Source organism: Homo sapiens, chromosome 3 (assembly GCF_000001405.40).
Source record: "Homo sapiens chromosome 3, GRCh38.p14 Primary Assembly".
Classification (NCBI taxonomy): domain Eukaryota; kingdom Metazoa; phylum Chordata; class Mammalia; order Primates; family Hominidae; genus Homo; species Homo sapiens.
Genome location: NC_000003.12, coordinates 53,661,596 through 53,685,156, shown reverse-complemented (window position 1 = coordinate 53,685,156; position 23,561 = coordinate 53,661,596). Strand labels below are relative to the sequence as shown.

The 23,561-nt window shown below is 43.1% G+C and overlaps 1 protein-coding gene across 22 annotated transcripts in view; it reads right to left on the bottom strand.

Moving 5' to 3' along the window:
• The window catches only part of CACNA1D (calcium voltage-gated channel subunit alpha1 D), a 319,123-nt gene that overhangs the window by 128,577 nt on the left and 166,985 nt on the right, over positions 1-23,561 (bottom strand). For 17 of the 22 annotated variants that reach the window (NM_000720.4, XM_005265448.4, XM_047448874.1 and 14 more), the window contains 3 exons: positions 19,345-19,497; positions 18,622-18,818; positions 11,341-11,444 (listed from right to left, as the gene is read on the bottom strand). In NM_000720.4, the coding sequence (NP_000711.1) occupies positions 11,341-11,444; positions 18,622-18,818; positions 19,345-19,497 (454 nt within the window). Of the gene's footprint in view, positions 1-11,340; positions 11,445-12,030; positions 12,135-18,621; positions 18,819-19,344; positions 19,498-23,561 lie in introns of all 22 variants that reach the window. The other 5 variants (NM_001128840.3, NM_001128839.3, XM_011534094.3 and 2 more) reach the window with 1 other exon arrangement.

Below are 23,561 nucleotides of genomic sequence, written 5' to 3'. Positions count from 1 at the left end.
ATCCATTTTTTATTTTTAATCCATGTCTTTATAGCATCTTAAATTTTTATTTAGTCTGACAATTTCTATCTTTTAACTAAAATGTTGTGTACATTTTCGTCCAATGCAATTATTGATATTACTGGGTTTGTCTACCATCTCGTTGTTGGTACTATATGTTCTTTGTTCCTTTTTCTTCCTTTTCTGACTTATTTTGGATAATTTAGTACTATTTAATATTCCATTTTATCTCTTCTTTTAGCTTTTTAGTACCCCTTTTAAGTCATTACTCTGGAGATTATCATATGCATCCTTAAGTTCTCAGTCTACCATGAATTCATATTATTTCAAAATGTAGTAACTTTATCACAGTGAAGCTCCATTTAACTTCCTTCTATCTTCTGTGTATGGTTATCCTATAATTTACTTTGACCTGTTACAGTTCCCATAATACCTTGTGCTTACTTTAAATTATCTTTTAGAAAATTTAGAAATGAGAAAAAATCTTTTATCTTTGTTTGCCATTTTGATGCTTTTTTTTTTTTTTTTTTTTTTTGACAGAGTTTCACTCTTGTTGCCCAGGCTGGAGTGCAGTGGCGTGACCTCAGCTCACCACGACCTCCACCTCCCAGGTTCAAGCGATTCTCCTGCCTCAGCCTCCAGAGTAGCTGGGACCACAGGCATGCGCCACCACTCTCAGCTAATTTTTTGTATTTTTAGTAGAGACGGGGTTTCTCCATGTTGGTCAGGCTAGTCTCAAACTCCCCACCTCAGGTGATCTGCCTGCCTCAGCCTCCCAAAGTGCTGGGATTAGAGGTGTAAGCCACCGTGCCCGGCCATGCTCCTCGTTTTTAAAGCGGACATTTAACGTTTCTATCTGGTATTATTTTCTTCTAGCCTGAAGAACCTCCTTTAACATTTCTTAGAGTGCAAATTTGTTGGTGACCAATTCTTAGATTTTGTTTACCTGAAAGTTTTTCTACTTCCTTCTTTTGTGAAGGGTATTCTTGCTTCATACAGAATCGTTTTTCCTTTTACCTCTTTGAAGATGTCACCCATTGCCCTACAACTTGCACTATATCTGCAAACAAGTAAATGCATATTCTTATTATTTTCTCCTAGTATGTAATGTGCCCTTTCCCATTTGCTTTCTGTTAAAATTCTCTGGATCTTTTACTTTCAGCCATCTAAATTTGATGTGCTTAGCAGTGGTTCCCTTTGTGTTTCCCCTGCTTGAGGTTTGTTGGGCCTTTTGGATCTGTTAACTTAGTTTTCAATACTTGCAACATGTTCAGCTTTATTTATCTTAAAATTTTTCTTCCTCAATCTCTTTATTCTCCTGTGACTCCAATTTCATATACACCAGATTGCTTATTGTTGTTTTAGAGATCACTAAGCCCTCATCAACTTTTTCTGCAATGTCCAGTCTACTTTTTTCAGATATTGTACTGTTTCTATTTACCTACTGAGATTTACCTATTCTTTTATTATGTCCATCTTTTCCTTCAGTTCCTTAAACAGGCTCATAGTAGTGACTTCAAAGTCTTTGATTATTAATTGCAACATCTGTCATCTTTTGTTTCTATCGACTTTTCCCTCCTTGATCGTGAATATTTTCCTGCTTCTTTTCATGTCTTATAGTTTTGGGTCATGAGGAAAAACATTCTGGGAACATCTGAGTTTTGGTCTCTTCCTTTAACGAGTGTTGATTTTTGTCTTTTTGACAGGTGTTTAATTTATTGGCCATTTCCCTGATCCTTTTGAAGCTTGTTTCTATGCTTTTTAAGTCAGGTCTACAGTAGGCTTACTCAAGGGCTAAAGTAGCTCCAACCCTAAAGCCTGGCGTTTCTGAAGTCTCAGTACCCAATGTATTCAATTAGGTCCTTCCACTACAGCTGAGCAGAACCATATACCTCCCAGCACGGAGAGATTTCCAACCACTTACAGCATTCTACTAGCTGTTCTCTGCCTGGCTTCAATAAGTATCACCTGGCACAGAAGCAGCTTAGTATATGGTCAGATTTCAAAGAACCTCCACTCTGAGTACTGGAGCCCCTTCTCTGCATACTTCTCACCCATACTCTGCCCTGAAAATCCCAGCTATCTTAGCAGCCCTGAACACTGTTCTTTGACCCCTCAGCAAATAGACCATCGTTCTCTGCTGGGCTCTCCCTCTCTGCCATAATTCTAAAACTGTCTCCAGGCAGAAAGCCAGGACAACTGCGGAGTTTACCTCATGTGTTTCCCTTCTCGTAGGGATTGCAATCCTGTATATCCTATTTCCATTTTCTGAAAATAGTTGCTTCCTATTTTTTGCCCAGTCTTTTGTAGTTGTTTATGGTGAAAGGTCCAGTCTGGTAGCACTAGTATGTTGTGGCTGGAAGCAGATTATATGAGCCTTAAGTTGGTCTCTCTACATCCATTTGTGTATCCATCCAATCTATTCATATTACTGCAGCCACAGTGATTTTCATATGCAGATTTTCCCAACATTTTATTAGGAAGAATTTCAAACATCCATAAAAGTAGAAACAATTATACAATGAACACCCATATGCCTACCTCACCTAGATTCCATAATTAACACCTGCTACCTTTTCTTCTTCTTCTTTTTTTTTTTTAAGACAGGGTCTCACTCTGCTCCCCAGGCTGGAGTGCAGAAGCATGATCATAGCTCACTGCAACCTCAAACTCCTAGGCTCAAGCGATCCTCCTGTCTCAGCCTCCTGAGTAGCTGGGACTATAGGCACACACCACATTGCCCAGCTAAAAAGACTTCTGTTTTTTTTTTTTTTTTTTTTTTTTTTTTTTTACCAGAGACAAAGCCTCGCTATGTCGCCCAGGCTGGTTTCAAACTCCCGGCCTCAAGCAACCCTTCCACCTCACCCTTCTGAATTGCTCGGATTACAGGTGCAAGCCACAGCACCCAGCTGCTACATTTTCTTTATCACCTATCTCTGCATCCCCCTATCCATCTATTAATCATCTTATCTTTTTGAAGCATTTTAAGGTAAGTTGAGGATATGAGAATACAGCATAATTTTTAGAAAATGTAAATTTGAATATCACTCCCTGCTTAAAATTCATCCATGCATTCTCTTACCCTTCAGCTAATGACCAAAACCTGTGACATAGTCTAAAGGTCCTACGTGACCTGGATTCTGCCGGCCAGTCTCTTTCCTTTCATCTGACTTCATCTCCAGCTCTCCCAGTTCCTGTCACCCTAGCTTCATTCAGTTCCTCCAGCATCCTCTGCTCCTTCCTACTGTACCTCCTTTCTGTGGGTTTTCCCTTGACTAGAATACCCTTGCCCTAGCTTCTTGTCCCACCTTGCCTGGATATGTGGACTACTCATTCTTCACTTCCAGGATGCTCCTACCCAATAAACTGACAGCAGTTGTGCCTGTTAAACCCTCTCACAGCACATGAACCTTTCTTTCAAAGCATTTATACGAGTTTGTAATTGTCATTTTGGCCTCCATCATTAGATATAAGCTTCACGAAGAAAGAAACCATTTCATTCCACACTGTCACTGCAGTGCCTACACGGTGCCTACATCCCACCACCGTAACCCTGGTGCCTACATCCCACCACTGTAATCCTGGTGCCTACCCAGTGCCTACATTCCACCACTGTAACCCCAGTGCCTAGCAGGGCACTTGGCATACATCTACCACTGTGTAGGAACTGAAAAAAAATTCATTAAATGAATAAGTCATTCTTAGGAAGTTAAGAGAGAGGGAGAAAAAAGGATCCAGCAGGATTTTCTGCTTCTTATTCGTCTGTTATATCAAATTCAACTGCCTGCAGGCCAAGCACAGTTGCCCTATTTCCAGAGAGCTGTGGAACAATGTCATCCGGAAAGCCCTCCAAAGACAAAACTCCATGGTTCTCCAATGCTCTTCTAGCAGCCGATCTAAGTTCTCATAAGACCGTGGATCTTTATGTTCATTTGAGTCTCAAAAATACAGCTCTGAATATCAAAGCTGTTTTGTTTTTTCCAGAGAAAATCTCTTTAATAAATGGTATCAGTAAGGGCTTAAAACCAACACCTCATTCCATGCCTCTCATCTCACACACCAGGGCAGGAACAGTGGCTCTCCTTTGCTCTGTGGCACCATCAATGCTGTCTCATATGGGTGGAGAATACTTAGGGCTAGGGCTTGGGTGCATCCATCTGTTGAAACATTAAAATGAAATCCAGAAAAGGAGCTGTTGAACTTTAACAAGGAAGAGTTCCCTACACTATAGATCTACTGGTCTTTGTATACCAAGCTGCCCTGCAATACCAATATTTGATCTCTGTAAAAGCAATTTTACCATCCTGTAAAAGAATATTACACAAAAGAGAAAAAAAGCATAATGTTGACAGTAGCATCTTAGAGACAATCATCAATTTGTTTCTCACAAGCCAAATTATTAAACTCCTAAATATCCTTTTCATTGTAAAAGTAATGGCAATTGTTAATGCCTCCAATTGAATAGGGACCACAGGAAAATTATGGCTTTAATTTCAACTATTAAGGTAGCAACAGCTTTATAAAGAGCTGGGTCTGTGCATGAAAGCACTGTAATGAATTCTCTTCCCCTAGGATTTGGGATCAACAGATTCAACAGCCTCCCCTGCAACACTAATACCCTCAACAACCTCCCTCTTCTAACCTGCACATCAACAACCCAGAGCACAGGTGGAGGGGGAACTGCGGACAGAGAAGTCAACTCAGCACACAGCTCTCCATCTGCAAAACGAGCATCCAGGAGGGCACATGTGGCCAGAGGTGCCTCCTGGGTCCTCAGAGGTCTTTCTGTACATTATTAAAAAAAAAAAAAGAACTTGGTCAGGAACAGATGATAGCCACAGCTGACAAGTGAGAGCTCTACTGAATCTGTTGCTAGCGCCTGGCTGCTGTCCACTGCTGTTGCCAGGGAAACAGACGTCAGCTTGATGGAAACAAGGATCAGCGAAAACTTTCACTTACCTCGTTTCCACTGATCCCGACAGCCATTTCTATGGAAACAGTAGCTGTAAGCCAGCGGCAGAGAGGTTACCACTCACTTGTTAATGTCAGGTGTGGCTACCAGCCTGTGCACTTCAGGTACCATGGTACCAACAGCACCAGGATCCAGCTGTCAGCTACCCCCAACAGCTGTTAACTCTGCAACAAGAAAGTTCAGTGTTCAAAAGTATATATAAATGTTTAGCTAGGTTCTTTATTAGAAAAAGGAAATTTAGCACTCTCATTTAAAGCCAAATCAGAGCTTAGTTTCTTGTTCTACCAAAGCCAAGCCATGTGAGGGTACCGAAGGACCCTGAATCTTTCCGGCACCCTAACCTCAGCATTCAACTCCATTCACAATATTACTTCATGGTTCAGAAAAGGGGACATCCAACTGTGAACAAATCTTTCACGTATTAGCCTCTTCAAACCAAAGACAAATCCAGCTAAATGTGGGGAAGTACTTTGCTACAAGTAATCATTAAGGGTGTCTTTAGCATTCTGTCAGCTTAATCATCACTACAACACATAGGAAGTTATTTTTTAATCATAAGAACTATCTACAAAGAGTCCTCCCCTGTCCCTTTTAGACTGGACTTCCGTGTGCCTTAGTAGCCACTGGCCAAAAATTCTCTGTTGGCCAAGATATGGAATTAACTCACTATTGCAGTACAGTTTTATTCTGAATATGGTGACAAATCATGCCGATATCCTGGCTACCCCAGGACCCCAATAACAACCTTTTCAATGTTGTAAGCAATTACACTACTCTTTTACAAAGCAGACATATCAGAGGTATATATATTGGAGGAAATTCAATTGTCCATTTTCTGTCAGTAGATGCTGGTAAAGTGTTGAATGAGAGAAAAGTCTTTTTTTTTTTTTTTTTTTTTTTTTTTTTTTTTTTTTGAGATGGAGTTTTGCTCTTGTCACCCAGGCTGGAATGCAATGGTGCAGTCTTGGCTCACTGCAATCTCCACCTCCCTGGTTCAAGTGATTCTCCTGCCTCAGCCTCCCAAGTAGCTGGGATTACAGGCATGCGCCACCATGCCTGGCTAATTTTTGTATTTTTAGTAGAGACAGGGTTTCACTGCCTTAGTCAGGCTGGTCTCAAACTCCTGATCTCGGGTGGTCCAGCTGCCTCGGCCTCCGAAAGTGCTGGGATTATAGGCGTGAGCCACTGTGCCTGGCCAAATGAGAGAAAAATCTAATCTCAGTCATGAAAAATGTATAAGAATGCCTATTCCCAGAGGATATGTCTCCACTTAGAAAATATTCACAAGTAATACAACTACTATCTATTGGTGTGTTTTGCCTCTTGAGCCACCATTCAAGTAGAAGAAATCAGAGATTGTCTGGCTATTACTAGTATGAATTTAAATGGACCAAACCTGATTCCACTATGTAAAATTCTGGTATAGTCAGTCCACAGTACACCGGCACCAGCACCACCTTCCCTCTTCACATTCTCCATCCCATGAATCTTTGCCTTAGGAAACCAAAGCTTCCTAAAAGTAGCCATGCCTGAGTCTTTGTCTAGGCCCCTGGTATCCAATTAGCCAGAATGGGATGTAGGAGGCGAGATTCAAAAACATAAACTAGTTTGAAAATTGCCTTCAGTTTTCTATAATGCTTCGCTTCATCCATGTTCCCTTAAACTTCTAAAGATAAATAGGCCTATAGTAATACAAAATTGGATTGATTTAAAATGATACCTGTGATCTGGTAGGATCTGGAACTTACTAGAACACCAAGAATACAAATTAATTGGTATGATTTTGAATTTATAGACCTGGGCTGGGTTTACATTCAATTTTATGTCATAAGAGTGGGTTTAATAACAATATTTATTGTCTAACAACATACAAGATCTACTTAACAAAGTATTTCAAATATTTTTCATAAGTTGTTGCCAAAACCAAAGGTTTGAATTCATAAGCGAATTATAAATGATTTTGATCTATTCTTTAAAGCAAGCCCAGGAGGGGGTTTATGTAGTAATATCCTTTAGTCAGCAGTAGCTTATGTCATTATATATATAATAAAACATTTTAAAAATATAACTTGGGCTTTTCACTAACACAGACCTATCTTGGCCAGCTATTATTAATTAGTTTGAAAGGACTGAATTGATTCGATTCTTTTCTTGCATCAAATCCAGGAAGAGATGCACCCTTCCTGAACTGTCATAATTTCAATAGGCCAAGCCCTCTACATTCTTCAGCTCACTGAGTCCTCACTGAACTTCACGAAGCTGCTACTGTGATGAGCTCCATTTCACAGATGAGGAAAGTAAGGCTCAAAGAGGTAAGTAACTTGCCCCAAATCTCACAACTGGAAAAGGTAGAACAAACATTCAAGACTTGGTTGTCTGATTCTAAAGCTGGTGTGCTTAACCACTATGTAATAGAAATGCCGTTCCCCTCAATTTGTGCAAAAAAACATTGTCAAATATATAATAACAATGACTTAGACCTGCGTAATACTTTGCAGCTGACACAGTGCTTCCACATTCTCCAGAGCCACCTCTTGGGTGACATTGAGTACAACGTTGATGTGTGTGTAAAGTGTGGCCACCTGCTGGGAAATCCAGAAAATGCTACACTCCAGAATTTCCAAAGAGTACCCTGCACCCTTCCCACCTAACCCAGTGAGGGGAGTGGGGGATATCCACGGATTTAAGATAAGGATATGTTAAATTAGAAAAACCCTTTATGTATTTTTAGAAGCACTTCTACAGTCATTAGCTGATTGAAAACCACCCTGTGTGGGAGACGGCAAGACAGGATGTCGCTGATATCCTGAAGGACAAAGAGACCGAGGCTCAGGGTAACTCAGTGAAGTCCCAGAGTGAACGCGGGACTCCAGCAGGACGGAACCCAAGTCTTCCAGCCCCCTTCCTGGGGGTTGGAGCCACATCCTGGGAGCCTAGGGCGTCCCCCATCTTGCAAGCTCAGACACTGCCACCATAGGGATGGCTGGTGGCAGGTGGGCCCTGAAATGGAGAAGGAGGCAGAGCCAACCAGCCTACCACCCATGACCCCCATGGTCCCCCTGGGAATCTAGCATGATTCTAAAGATGAAAACCTCAAAAGGGAGTTCAATTAACAATTTGAAAAGTGAAAAATTGCCAAACTTCTAGAAGACCACGTGTAATATGTCTGAATTGCAGACTTAAAGAAGACATTCTTTCCAATTCCTGGTCATAATGGGAGCATATCCTCAATGACAACTTAAGGTTAAATTGCAACATTAGACATAGACATTCTCAGCCCCTCCCACAGAGCACTGTGATCAGAGATGGAAGTATTCATCTATATTCATGCATGGCTGCATAGGGTTTACAGTTCATAAACTTCATACTTACCTTGAGGGAAAAAAGACTGTTATAAAACCAAAGATTTTCCCAAAGCATCAGTGTTACAACACTTTACAAATAAACACCAAATCCAATGTGCAGATTAAAGTCTGTTCAAGAATACAATAGGATGGCATGGCCACACACATGACGGAGCCAAGGAGCAAAAACAGATACAGGTATTTCCAAATGGCTGACAGACTTGAAGACATACAGCACCATCTAACATTTCCTCGTGAGAAGGCAATCACATGGTCTCGACCAGCCTTTCTAAAATGAGGGCGTTTTAATTCAGTGCTTAGCGGATTACATTTGTGTTGGTCTGACAGTCCCTCAGGGTCTATGCAACACAAATTGTCTTCCTCTCAACATTTATATCCTTCTGGTTTTGCAGTACCTCTAGTGTTCCCTTAAAAAATTATGAAGACTCTTGAGGCTAAAATTTAAAAAAATAATAATAATTTGCTTAAACAACAACAAAAATATCAATGGGAAAGTAAGAGGGGAGTAGCAGGCAGAGAGGGAAGGTGGTGGTTGGGAGGGCGAGGGGGCGGAGGGGCGGAGGTGGAGGCATGCCAGCCCATCGTCAGTCGCCGGGGGAGATGCCTCCTCATCTCTCTAGTGCAGCTCACAGAGCCTCTGGGTCTGCACCTCTACTGAATATGTGCCCTTCTGCACTGCTTCAAAATGGGCTACCCCATGAGATAATGAACGCCTAAGCACAAGGCCGCTGTCTGTGTCTGAGACATCCTGGCACCCCTCGCCTCTGGACCAGAGCCGGGCACTCTACAGGATCTCAGGAAATACTGGCCAAATCAGGAACAAAGCTGCGAGGCTGTGCTTTGCAGACATGGTTCTGCCTTTACCCAAACCAGCCCTACCGGAGGCCTTCTGGGGGAGTAGAGAGGAGGTCATGTGCAGCCTCTAGGGGTTTGAGCACAGCCCGCACTGACAGTTAAAAATCGCAGAGAAGTCTCGGGTTTTCTTTTATAATTTCATGTGTCATTTCCAGTCTCCTCCATCAGGGATCTAAGTTTTGTTTTGATGAAAAAATATTTTTTAAAAAAATTATTTCCCCCCAAAATATATTTCAGTAAACTGGTTGTTCCATGAAGGAGTGTACCTTTTTTATCCTCCAGCTTTGGGTACCTCCCACGGAGTTGCAGGTTTAATCCCCATTTGTGATAGTGGGAAGCCCCCCCGCCCATCTTTTTCTCTTTTCTTTTTTTAAGCACCTCACGATCTGGCTCCTGCCTCTACTTCATCATGTCTGCTGGGGCAACGGTTCCTGCCTGGGAAAGCTAAAAGATAAGGGATGTCACCGGCACTGTTAAAATTAGTGGTTTCCATGGCCTCCGTCAGTTTAGCTGGGTTTAGGAGACATGAGGCGCCAAGGAATTCACAACAGGATTGCTGTTAACCTTGTATAGAAAGCTCCTGTGGCAAAATCAAATGCGATGTTATTTCTCCAGGAATAGACACCACCCTCACATGTCCAACCCTAGCCTAAGGCCACTGAGGTTTACTAGGAGAGAGACACTTCTCACGTTGAGGTGGAAGGGCCGGAGGCTTGAGGAGCCACTCATCTACAGGAGGCGGCTCAGGCAGGGGAGGGTTATGTGGCCCCATCCCAGGCTCAGCCCCCACTCCTCTCTCTGGCGGGCACTGGCCCCTGGGCCAACTCTACATAGGGACTTCCTGTGACAGTATGCGTCCCTGGTGTGGAACTGACTACATTCAATCCAGGGCAGGTTTAGGGGAAGATGCAGAAAGGAAGCCGAGATGGATAAACGCACTCTGCTTTCTGCTCTGGAAAAGGCAGTGTTTCCAAAAATGCGATTAAAGCCTTTCACTAACTCAGCATACATGAAGACATCACTTCCCCGAGATACAGCCTCGGAAAGAGCAAGATAAAGTGAGTGAGGAGGAGATAAACTTGCCTGGAATCAAATCCATCAACACTACTTCCTGAGGGTGCCTGGGCGCAGCGCAGTGACAGAGGCTCCTCTGGGAGACGTGGGCCCCTCTTGGCCTCCTGGTATCCTGCCTGCCCCCCACAACCCGGCAATGGCTGTATGAAGGAGCTGATTGTGAGAGAGCCATACAGCCCCCAGCTCCCTTCTCTGTAGCACCCCACCTTCTGGGGGTGTCTGAGAGGCGGTGTGGATGCAGGGCTGCCCACAAGGGTTCTGGGATGGCATCTCCAGCTACGGGCAAGGCAGAGCCTGCAACATAAGGAGTTCCCTTTCCAGGCCAGAATCTGTTGCACCCTCTTTATGGAGAGTCAATCCATAGAGAGGAAGTGATAAACAAGCAAACTTCAAAAATCGTGACTGAATGACGGGGTCTCTGTAAGGCCATGGGAAATGTGTGCACAAAAGTCGATCATCACTCTGCATTAAGAGAAGGATTCTGTAAGTTTCGGTTAAAACTGAATCACAGGGACAGTTCTCACAATGACAGCACTAGAACACCAAGCTAATAAAGAATCCCAATCTAAGGAAGATTTTGAAACTGTCCAGTATTTATGTGCTTGAGGCTTATTTCTCCTTCACAGTAAAATCTAAAACTCCCCTGGAAGTATTTATAATGCACTGTGGTGACCTAAAGGGGCCAGGTTATGTACTAATAGACACAAAACGACAAGGAGTTATGTACTAATAGACACAAAATGACAAGGGACAAAAGCCTCTTTCCTGGGGGAGACCAAGGCTGGAATTCCTTTAACTCACTTGTAATCCACCTCTACACGTTCACATACTAACACAACTGGCTTTGGGGGAACGTTTTCATTAAATTAACAGTGTTTGGCAAGCATTGGAAACACGGAATCTCACAGACAGATACAGGCAGAAAGAATCACAGTTCAATCCAAAAGCAACACACTGAGAGGACATCAGAGTCCAAACACATGCAGAGAAGCTGTCAGGGAGCAGCTAGGAGACACGCAGAGTTGCCTCACACGTGGCAGCAGGAGAAGGTGCAACACGGATCCGACTGCTTACCCACTAAGGACACCAAGAACCAGGTTAAGGACGAAAAATGAGCCAAGGATGATCAGACTAACAAAATACACCCATGGCCATTCCCATCCTATCGCATCATTTACCTGTAAAATGTAAGGAGATCAGTTATCAGTTATCCATTTACTAAAGAGCAGAGCCCCAGTTGCAGCTGCCAAACCTCTCAGTGCTTTGCTGAAGGTTAGTGCTCCTAGGACAGGGACTGGGCCTAGGTCCTTCCCTTTTTTTTTTTTTTTCTGCAAATAAGGACAAGCTCAGCGGCTGAAATCTACAAATGGGGACTACCAAAAGCCCACCCAATCCAGCTCATTTTGCTATCGTTTTATAACAATTAATCTGCATTATATTTGGATCCAGACAAATAAAGCAATTATAAATGTATCTCACTTTAGAACAGACAAAAAAAGGGCATGCTATGGAAATTGTTTAAATCTCAAGCAACAATGCTGATTAATTTCTGGTCAATAATCGTTCTATAGTTCTCCTTCATGAAGCCTGGTGAGGTTCCAGGAAACAGCTTGATTTGGGAAGCCTCAGCAGAAAAGAAAGCATCTCAGAGGACACATAAAATGTCTGGCAACCCCTCTTGGCGGCCCTCATCCAGCAAAGCTTGTGTGGTCTTGGCAACTGTCCTCAGGACTCTGCTTTCAAGATGAAAGAGGTGTAGCTTACCCGCTCAATACACCAAGTACAAGATTTAGTACGAAAAATGACCCAAAGATGACGAGACTGACAAAATACACCCAGGGCAATTCAAATCCCATAGCATCATTCATCTGCAAGAAATAAGATGGTCTCATAGGAGTGGGTTAATAAGAGGATTTAATAAGGAGAGAGGGTCACATTAGAGACAGCATTCTATACATTTAATTAAACATTTACTTAGATTTAAATCAGAAACAACAGTAGCCAAATCAGAGACAACAGCAGCCAACACACATTAATCACATATTCCCCATACACACACACAAGCATCCATACACACACACACACACACACACACACACACACACACACACACACACACACACACACACACAGAGTCATCAAGGCTTTCAGGCCGAATAATAGCAGATTTTGGCCCCAGGAAGGAAAATCAGCTGGGATATGGCTTTTTCTTACAGGAAACTGTCTTGATAAGTGATTTTCAGGAAAGGTCTTGGTAGAGGACAAAACTCCTGCTTAGCTAGAACCTATTTTCTATGCTGCCCAAGATTTTAGACTTTGTGTTTAAAGTTTGTGATGGTGGAAAAGTCTTAATTATAGAGACAAACTTGTACCATCTGACTCTATAAACTCTTTTTAAAAACTCCTAAAATAATCTTCTACTGGAAACCAACCTACCCAAGGAAACCAAACCCACCTTAGATCTGGATTATCTGCAACCTGTGAGTGCAAACAAAATGAATGCAGCAAAATGAATGTGAAAAAGAAATTTTTTCAAGGTCAACTAGCTGACACAAGCCACGGGCTCTTTGGGGAATGGGCTTTTTCTTAGCTGCACCCACAGAAAGGAGAAGCAGCCCTTATTCTCCACACTTAGCTTTGATCTAGATGACCCCCCTGGGAGACTGGCTCCAGCTGTGAGCTGACTGGGTTTAGAGGTGAAAGGGTGTGGCCTGAGGAACCCCATTCCCCTATTCCCGGACAAGCTCATGCTGCACATTCAGACACAGTCTCCCTGGCAGACCTGGCCAAAGGAAGCTAGAGCAAACAGGGCTTTAAGGATCACAGCTGGATGGAACTTTCCAGCAGCACAGGTCAATGTTAAATTCAGCAAAACACCTTTCCCAGGAAGGAGGTGTTAAGAACCAGTCAGGGGACAGAATGGATGGCCCAAGGTATGACCCTGCCACAACACCCAGAATTTTCAGCCAATGAGAACTGCAAACAGTCTGGATAGAGCCATCGCTCTTGCCTTGCAGGTGCAAGCCCTTAGGGTGTTAAGCATGTGCTTTCCTGCATATGATCTGGCTCCAGGTTTTAACTTTACAGAATGAGGCTCGTGCATTTCACAATGTTTGCCTCGAGAAGCCAAATAGGGAAAGTGAACATTAAAAAAAATTACCTAACATCTGTTGCTGAAGTCTAGGGAGAGGGCATTAAATCCCTTATGAAACACCTGTTTGGCCACATGAAAATTGATGTGCTTAATAGAACTCATATCAGTCTGCACATCTTACATTGGCAATTAGAGTAATGAATGAGCCTGGGCTGTGGCTGCAATTGTTGATCTAATTAAGTTGGATAAACTAATTTCAGCAGGAAGGCAGAGGGTAATTCATCCAGAGCAACTATACCACTAAACTTACTGAAAAACCCATATATGAAGAAGGAACTGGCTGCCTGGTGTGGTGGCCTGTGCCTGGCCTGGGTCAGCACCTGAGACAGAGCCCCACCTGGGCTTGTTTCCCTCTGTGTTGGAACAGAGGTGCATGCAGCAGGGGAGAAGGTGCCCAACAAGGTGACGGGAGGGCAGACAGGTCCAGGGCTCCCATCAGGAAACCTCACTCTTCCATGACCCTAGCAACCGTCATCTGCTGAGCCATCTGCTTCACCAACCCTCCTTCAGGCCTCAGTCTGGTGTTCCAGAGAATGGCTCTAGTAACAGCTGTCTTCTCTACTTGGGAGGGAAAATTTTCCTTTAAAAAATTTAAAACCCTTTTAATTTCTTGGGAGTAGGTGTTCATCAGATTCACATTTGCTCAAATCAGAAGTATCACTTGGAATGACAGTTGAGGCCTGGAGGGGAAGGCTGGAGATGAATACAGTCCACTGGAGATTCCAAATCTCTAAGTCAGAAGGTGGGGCAAGAGAGACAAGCTTCGGCTCTGAGAACGGTCTTGCTCCCATTGAACCCTTCTCAATCCAAGTCCCTTTTCAGAGCCAAGCATTTCTTGGATCTTACCATATACAAAAGAAAAATCAGAACATGCAAGCTGTTCCCAAAAATACCCACGTGAAAATAGAGACTGCTTGGGATTTTGCCTGTATGGTCTTTATCAACAATGAAGAAACTGGCTTCCACTGAAGGACTTCAATTTAGACTAATTTTTAAAAAACTTATATCAAAGTCATCAAGGGGTGTCATCTGGTGCCCAGGAAATAATTTTCTTTTTAGCTTCAGTTTTCCTTCTTTTAGAAGGCTGAAATGGGCCGGGTGCAGCAGCTCACGCCTGCAATCCCAACACTTTGGGAGGCCAAGGCAGGTGGATCACCCTGAGTTTGGGAGTTCGAGACCAGCCTGGCCAACATGGTGAAACCCGTCTCTACTAAAAATACAAAAATTAGCTGGGCGTGGTAGCAAGGACCTGTAATCCCAGCTACTTGGGAGGCTGAGGCACGAGAATCGCTTGAACCCCGGAGGCAGAGGTTGCAGTGAGCCAAGATCACGCCATTGCACTCCAGCCTGGGCAACAGAGCAAAACTCCGTCTCAAAAAAATGTAAAAAATAAAAATAAAAGGTTGAAATGCATATTCATGTCTCAAGTTATAGACCAATGCAAGGCTGTTTTTCTAGCTGCTGAAAACACTTCTGGAAACTTGGTATACTGGTTTTAACACCCCAGAGCATGCAATAAGAAAAAGGCAAGCCCTCGGCTGGTTACAGAGAGATTTCCTAGGTGCCCTGAATGAAGGAGACTGTCAGCTTGACCATGAGTACTTCCCGTGAAGGTCTGACAGCCAGCACCTCCGTAGGAGTGTGCACTGAGAAAAGAGCTTGGTGCTAAGACAAGACACCGAAATTATTTATCTGGATAGCTGTCTCCTGAAACCAATACTTTTTATTTCCTGCATTTAAAAACAATTTCTTTGAATTGAAGGAAAAAAAATTTCCTCTAAGTTGAAGGGAAAAATTAAATCATGTAAGTTTATTTCTGCATCTTGAGAAGCCCAGAGAGGTTCCATGAACTACTCAAGGTCACACAACCAGGCTAAATAAACACTCTTTCCCTGCCCTACACCCTACTGCCTCTGTGAGCAACAAACACTCACATGTGAGTCAAACAACAGCTCAATTATATTTATGGAACTCACTTTATCAAAGAACTCTACCATAGGTTTCTTTCCACCAGAACTTAATGATCCCACTTCCCACACATCCAAATAGTCCTGTTCTAAGTGTGCCTTTCTACATATTGGACCCACCTTTACTTCCCTTCTCAAGACCCTGCCAGACATTTTCCAGACACTAGTGAGAAGCAAGGCATAAATGAGCTTGAGAACGCTGACTGAATATAAACTTGACTAGATGCAAAACAATGACCCGCAAAGACTTTGTCCACCATATGTAAGTGCCTAAAGGATTCAGAAATGTGCTTGTAGTCAATATTTAAAATCTAATCTCTTTTTATCTCCCAAGATGTCCCCTTTATGCCCTAGTTGTGGATAAAAATAGATATTCAAACATGGCACATCTACACTAATGAGGCAATATGCCTGGTACACTTGAAGGATGATGACCATCCCTTGTGTTTATTGAGTGCCTGCTCGGTGCCAGGCACCATGCTGGGCAGGGATGTTCTGCTGTGTATCACAGCGGTGTGGCTTCCAGCTGACTGTGGCCCATGAAATATTAGGAAGGCTTGGTTCCTTGGCCCCTGCCTATCTCTATGATGAGCTAATAAATGCAATCAACAGGTAATTAAAAACAATCCTGATGTGTTTCAGAGAGTAAAATCTTAGAGAACAGTCGGGAAGACATTACTTAGCTGCCCCCTAGTGTTCTGGAAGGATTCATCAACTGCTGACAGGTGGAAGAATGCCAAGGAAAGAGTGCTGGGTTCTAGTCTAGGCCAGGGGGTCCCACAGCATGACCTGCAGACCAAATCTAGCTTGCTGTATGCTTTTATATGGCCTCAAGCTAAAAATGATTTTTACAATTTGAAATAGTTGGTGGGGGAAAAAATCAAAAGCAAAATATTTCATGACACAGAAAAATCATACAAAATTCAAATTCCAGGGTCCATAAATGAAGTCTGATTAGAATAAAGCCACATCCATTTGCTTATGTATTGCCCATGGCTGCTTCCTAGCTATAGTGGAAGGGCTGAACAGTTGCTGAGGTGACCATGTAGCCTGCAAGGCCAAATACATTTTCTATTTGCCCCCTTATGAAAAGGTTTATAGACCACTGTTCTAGATCAAGGACCACAACCATTTGCTGTAGAACTCGGGGAATGTTCCATGGTCTCTACGCCACTGTCTCCATCTTCAAGATCCCAGACCTTCTATAAAGGGATACAGACTGGGATAAAGTTTATGAATGGCTTGAGATCCCCACCAGAATAAAGATGCTGTGTAATTTATGGAGAGTGCAATTATACTGTCAAAGTATTAACCACGTGATTGTCATATTAATAATAAAAATAGTAATTATATCATCCTAGATGATATTTAAACCTTCTCAGGAAAGTAAGCGGAAACTTTTGCTTCTAGGAGCCTGAAGTTCCCTCTCCTTTAATCATCTACTCCCAGGTTTTACACTTGCTTGGCAACAGGAAAATTCTGAGAATCGATGTGAAGGAATATAACATAAAGTATAAAATTTTTCATCAGTCAAGGCATGTTGGCTCTGCAGCTGACAATTCACCATGTCAATAGAGAGAAAAACAAAGCTGAGAAGAGTCACAGATTTTGATTTTTAAAAAAATCAAAATGTTGTTTTATGTACTGTTTGGGGAGGGGAAGTATCAGTTTGGGCTATTTTGATGATGCTTTTTCTATTTATGAAAAACTTCAAGGGAAGACTGGAATTGAGATCTCAACTAATCTGACTAGAAGTTGCAATTTAGGAAATAATAGCAAAAATGAATGCTTCACCTAACCTGAGGGCCCTCCTGCATACAGAAGCCATGCCCCTGGCTCAGCCAATATCATCTCCTTCCTCCTTCCTCTTTATGAAAAGACGTTTTATGAATATAAATAACAGATGTGCATACACACACACACACACATGCATACACACACACACACACTCACACTCCTATGACAATCAGAAAAAGAAAGGGAAGTAGGAAAAACAAGATATAACATGTTGGTGATGCTTAAACCTGATCAAACTAGACTGACTTTGGGGATTAAAGATAAAAATATAACTTCTTTGCCTCATATTAAATATATAGGGACATCTACAATCCTGTGAGCTGCTGAAGGGCAGCAAAAACCTATTTATAACCATTATATGTTACATTCTTTGAAGTTATGGAGTATAGGAAATCCTGAAAAGTATCTAAAATTTAGAAACTACCAGAAGCTACTTATCAATTTACAGGCCTTCTGTCTAAAAGCTGCTGATTTCAGAACTACTTTATTACTAATTTCCTTTTAACAACTCATGATTGGAATCCTGGTTACTCCCCTTTGGACTTGGATTTAGGCTCAAAATCTACATGTTAGCTGTCTTTACCAGCAACTCTTATACCGTGAAAAACAATTTCTAAACTTCTGTGAGCTTTATTTGCATTCTAACAAACTCAGCCCTGGGAAATGGCTGTTAAAATGCTATAGCACTTATTTTTATACAGCAAATCTTTCTGGCTCTATCAGGAACAAGAGGAATCAGACCCTCGCCTTGAAAGAGTGTCCAACTGTTTTCATGGCAGGCTGGATGGGTCCACCAGCCCTGGAAGTCTACGTGCCATTCCTACCCTTTCTGCCAGAGGTCTGTAGCTTCAAATAGAAAGGAAGACAGCTAAGGTTTTGTGCTGGGATGATTTATAGTAATACTAAAGAATGGGAAATATTATCATGGGAGAAACTCACACTGGGTTTAAGGTTATACTGAGTTATGAAAAGCATGAAAGGGATCCGATTTACATTCCCTTTCTTCCCTTTAGGATCTAGTAGAGCAACCTGCCTTGATGTATAAATGATTAACCTTAGCCTGTGGCAGTCCAGGAGCCTCCTTACCTGGAAAGTGACCCTTTGGCTCTCTTAAGAGTTGAATCAGGATAGCCCTGGCTTCCTGGAGTTCCTCCAAAGGGGACCACTGGGCACCCTTGGCACCAGGTCTTCAGGCAGCACTGGGAAGTAGAGGACTAAAGCCAGAAGCCAACATCGCGCAGCAGCTTCCTGCAACTGAAACTAAGGCCCTCGAGGAGCAGGATGATGAAGACTGCTGGTAAAGACAGCATCTGCTTCCCTTCCCAAATAACTGACTTCAGGGTTTCTTTTCCAGCCACCTCTCCAGTGGCTCTAGCTCACAAAACCCACTTATCCAAGCAAAGAACACTCCATAAACTCTCTCCCCAGGGTACTTACCCAGTAGAGCACATCTGTCCAGCCCTCCATGGTGATGCACTGAAACACAGTAAGCATGGCAAAGGCAAAGTTATCAAAGTTGGTGATGCCTCCGTTCGGGCCAACCCAGCCACTCCTACATTCCGTGCCATTGGCAGTACACTGGCGTCCATTCCCTGAGAACGCACATGGAGCTGGGTCCTCTTCAGCTACGATATCTGCAAACAGAGCAAACAGGCTGTACCGCTCAGGACAGAAACATCAGGAAATCCAAGCCAGCGGAAGGTGAGAACCCTTGCCAGAGCCCGGGACACCCTACCGCCCCATCTGCGTTGCCTCAGGATCCTGCTTGTCCTTCAAGGTTCCCTTCAAATGCTCCCTCCTTAGCGGAATCTGCCATTTCCTCTTGTCAGCATCCATGGTTCTTTTCCTCTGCACCTGCGCTTACAGCATCCTCCTTAGGCTTAGATAGCACAATGCTGTTGGTTTGCCTCATGTTTTTACTTTGGAGGTCTCTTATCTTGTTTGCCAGGACACATTACACAGGAAATCGGGGTGGAAAGGGAGACTGAATTCTCATCTATTCTGAACATAGCTCACACTGAGAACTGGCTCAGTAAATGTGCTGGTATATTGGGCATTTTTTTTCCTATTTTGTTTTAGATTTTCCCCAAACCATGAAAGTTGCTTTGGGGAAAACAAAAAAATTTTAAAGTTAAGTTAGCTACAATTCTCATTACTCACCTGAGTCAGCAAAAAAACATGTTTTGTGCATTTTTCCAATAAAAAGTTCCAATCCTATAATAGCATAGATTATGATTACAAATAATACCAAAAGGGCTATGTGAAGGAGGGGAACCATGGCTTTTATAATGGAGTTCAGGACAACTTGTAAACCTAGGAAAGACAAAAAAAAATAAGTTTGTGAGCCAGGAAGGCACTCCAATGAATCATATATATAATTCCTAACCATGCCTCCTTTACTTAGAACACATAGTAATAAAATTCAAAGAGGTATTTCAAAGCTTTTCATTAATATTAAGCCTGGATGTGAGATAGACTGAAAAGGAACCTTAAGGATCATCTAGTCAAACTCCCTCACTAGACAGAGGGAAAAACTAAGGCCTAGGGAGGGGACTGCCCAATGTCAAAGTTCATCATTCATTTATGCATTTCTTCATCCATCTGACAAAATCTCTTAAACATCTACCATGTGGAAATCATAAGGTTTGGTGCTTTGGAGCAATATGAAGACGGTTTATGTAAAATGTTTTCCCTCAAAAAATTATATTCTAGGAGACATAGAATTAAACACAAATAACTCTACCCTGGGGTAGCACATAGATGCTATATAAATATCCCAATAGTTAAAATTAATAGGTGTTGGGAGTTGAAAAGGCCAAAGGGATTGTGACCAACTCAGCATTCCACTGGAGGCTATATGATCAAACAGCAAACTGTTTATCATGAATGCAGGATGTGGGCAAACTCACGACTGTGCCTACCGCCAGGTTTGCTGAGGGCAATCACTCCCTGGCACCGTGCTCATTGAGGTTATCTACTGGGACATCTAGAGCCTGTTGTTAGAAGAATGCAGTCTTGCAAGTCTGCTGTAAATCAAGCTGCTGACCGACAACAACTCCCCTCTCTCCCTATCTCCTTTACCCAGTAAAATGTGAAAGGCTCTGAAGCTCAGGGCTCTTGTTCACTAGAAGCAAGGAGCCCCCTGACCCCTTCTTCCAAATATACTCTTTTGTCTTTGTCTTTATTCCCATGTTCATCATCCTTTGTTCAGTCCCCCAAGGTCCATGCAGGTGACAAGTAGGGATGAATGGGGTGAAGAAAGGGTCCTGAGGCAGCTTCTCTCTGGGCACAGCCCAAAGGCCAGGTGGGGTGGATTTCCACAGGTGGGCATGGGAGAGAGGCAACTTCAGGGAAGAAGAACAGAGTACCAAAAGCACAGAGGAGAGTAGCACAGTATGGGCTTGAGGGTGGTGAGTCTTGATTGGTGGTTAGTGGAAAAGAAAATCACGAAAGAAAAGTAGATTGCAGCCAGGGTTGTGGGTGTTGAATCCAGGTCATGAAGCCAAACTTTAGATCACTAGCAAAAGGCAGCTGCTTTAGAAAGACCAACAGGACAGCAGCAGGCCAGACACACAGAGAGGTAGTTCAAGAATGCTGGGGTAGGTGAGGGTGAAGATCAGGATGAGACCAGAACTCAGCAACTGAGTCAGAATGAGAGGAAGGTACCTATGGAGCACACCAGTTATTTGAGCCAGGGTCTTGAGGCAAAATCCCAGTGTCCCCAACAAAACTAAGCATTCCAAAGGGAGGTTCTCCAGGAATGAGGGAGGTGGGAGGGGAAGGGGGAGGTTGAGACTGACTTGAGCCTTGTTAAGTATGATGTTGGTATTATGTAACATTAAGGTAGACGTGTCCTGAAGCTGAAATGTGGTCTTGAGAGACAGGCACATGAGAAATGATTACTTCTGCCCTTGTGAGGTAGCTCACGCCTGTAATCCCAGCACTTTGGGAGGCCGAGGCAGATGGATCACTTGAGGTCAGGAGTTCGAGACCAGCCTGGCCAACATGATGAAACCCCATCTCTACCAAAAATACAAAAATTAGTTGGGTGTGGCGGTGTGCGCCTGTAGTCCCAGCTACTCGGGAGACTGAGGTGGGGGAATCACTTGAACCTGGGAGGTGGAGGTTGCAACTCCAGTCTGGGTGACAGAGCAAGACTTCGTCTCCAAAAAAAAGAGAGAGAGAGAGAGAGAGACGATTATTTCCTACATTTAAAACTTTTGCTGCCATGGAGGTCTTAGGAAGACAGGGTCTTGCTGAGTCTGAAATCCTCAGACTCAGACCCATTACTTTCAATGGCAAAAACCGCAATTACGTTCACACCAACCTAATAGAAGCTACCCATGGAGTCATACTCAGTGCCAGAGTGTGGGTAAGGCTACCCGCCAAGGGACAGAAAAAGAGGTCATGAAAAGAAGGATGGGGGCAGCACTCAGGATTAGGATTGGTTGTGAGGAACCAAGAGACTGAGGGAGAATGGGCAGGAATCCAGAACCTGCCCTGGAGACCAGGCCTCCTGACCTTGCATTGGCATCCCCCATCCTCTCCATGGCCCCACGACCTCAGCACGACTGTGCTGCTCACTCTTTTCCTTCTTACCTTCTCCTTCCCTGTCCTTCCCTGTTGTCTCTCCACCTTCAAACTTTCCATCTTCTGCTATCATCTCACTTTCCCAATACATAGTCAGGAAAGAAAGAATGCAAGAAGCTGAGATGCTTACATCGGAAACCAGAATACAGCAAGCAAAGAGAAGACTTAGCAATAATGACAAATCTTTACCGTGATAAGCAGCACAGGAGGAGGCAGGGGAGAGGATGGTGAGGGAAGAGCAGTAAGAGGATTTCAGACTCAGCACGACCCTGCCTTGCTACAACCTCTATTACAACTAAAACTCTGGGTGCTACATCTTTGGATATGTAAATGTCCACATGGTTTTTTCAAAAATGATCAATTAGGATGATTTTCAATATTTTTACCTCCTACAAGGAACACATGGAAAGGAAAAGACGACACCCGTTCCAATCCCCATGGCCAGGTTTCTATCATTGTTTTGGTTTTCTTGAGACACCAATGGGCCATGCAAAACTAACCCCCAGCAGTTAGCTCTTCTAAATTCCATGGCAGTAAGCTTTGTGAATATTTTTTACATTTAGAGTAACTACTGTATTTCAGATTTGTCACATTTATGAGATGATAAAGTTGTATCCGACTGTGAACATGTATACTTTATTGCATTCCGCTCCTTTGTACATAATCAACATGTACGGTAGATCTCAGTGGATCTCATGGGACTCTAGTCAAGGAGGCAGAAGTGGGAAGAACACCGGGTCAGAAATGTGGAGATCGTGGGTCTGGTTCTGTCTGGCTACTCACTAGCTGTGAGAACTTACACTAGTCACTACCTCCAACAGGCCTCAGTTTCCTTGTCTAAAAGATGCAGGTAGACCAGATGATCTTTAGGATTCTTTTCCACTTTGATGGTCTTGAACTTTGATAAATGTTTCCCTGTCCAACACGGAAGGACAGGGAAAGAGAAGGTAAGAAGTTAAACAGTGAGCAGCACAGTAGTGCTGAGGTCGCGGGGCTGTGGAGAGAATGGGGGACGTCAACACAGGGGTCAGAAGGCCTGGTCTCCAGGGTGGGTTCTCGGTTCCTGCCCATTCTCCCTCAGTCTCTTAATGTGGGTGCTTAAGAACTCCACAAATGCCTGATTCACCACCTTGTGAAATAAATTTACCTTTCACTGAATGAATATATATTTCCATACACACATGCACACAAAATTATGTCTTACAGAACAGTCTGGATTCTCTTTAGCAGGGACTAAACAATTCCAAGATAAGTGTAAACAGTCAAACATTCCTGGACATTTTTAACAACTTCAAGTACTAGAGAAGAAATCAGCAGGCCACGGCTGCCAACCAGCACTAGAAACAGCACATCCGACAACCTCTGATCCTTTTCTTCAAAAGCCTATTTGAGTTTGATGAGAGACTGGGATGTTCCCTACCTAGGTGGTTAAAAATATAAGCTCAAAAGTCCTCATACAAGACTCAGACTCACATTTTTCCCTGCTGACCTGGGGGAGAGTTACATACAAATCTCCCTATCAAATTTCAAACAGTGATGTCTGTTGGGGAAAGGAAGAAATACAGTTTAAAACTAATTCTCAATATCTAGGAGCACTGCACTAGTTTAGTAAAAACCTCATTAGCCAAGGAAGCAGACACAATGCTATGTGAGTTCTTGGATTTTTCACTGGCCAGAAGCTCGCACGCACACACGCACACAGCCACAGCCCCCAAAGTCTGCACACAACACATACCATAGACAGGCTGTCCTGTTATTTGCTCTTTGGGGGAAAAAGCTGTCGTGGT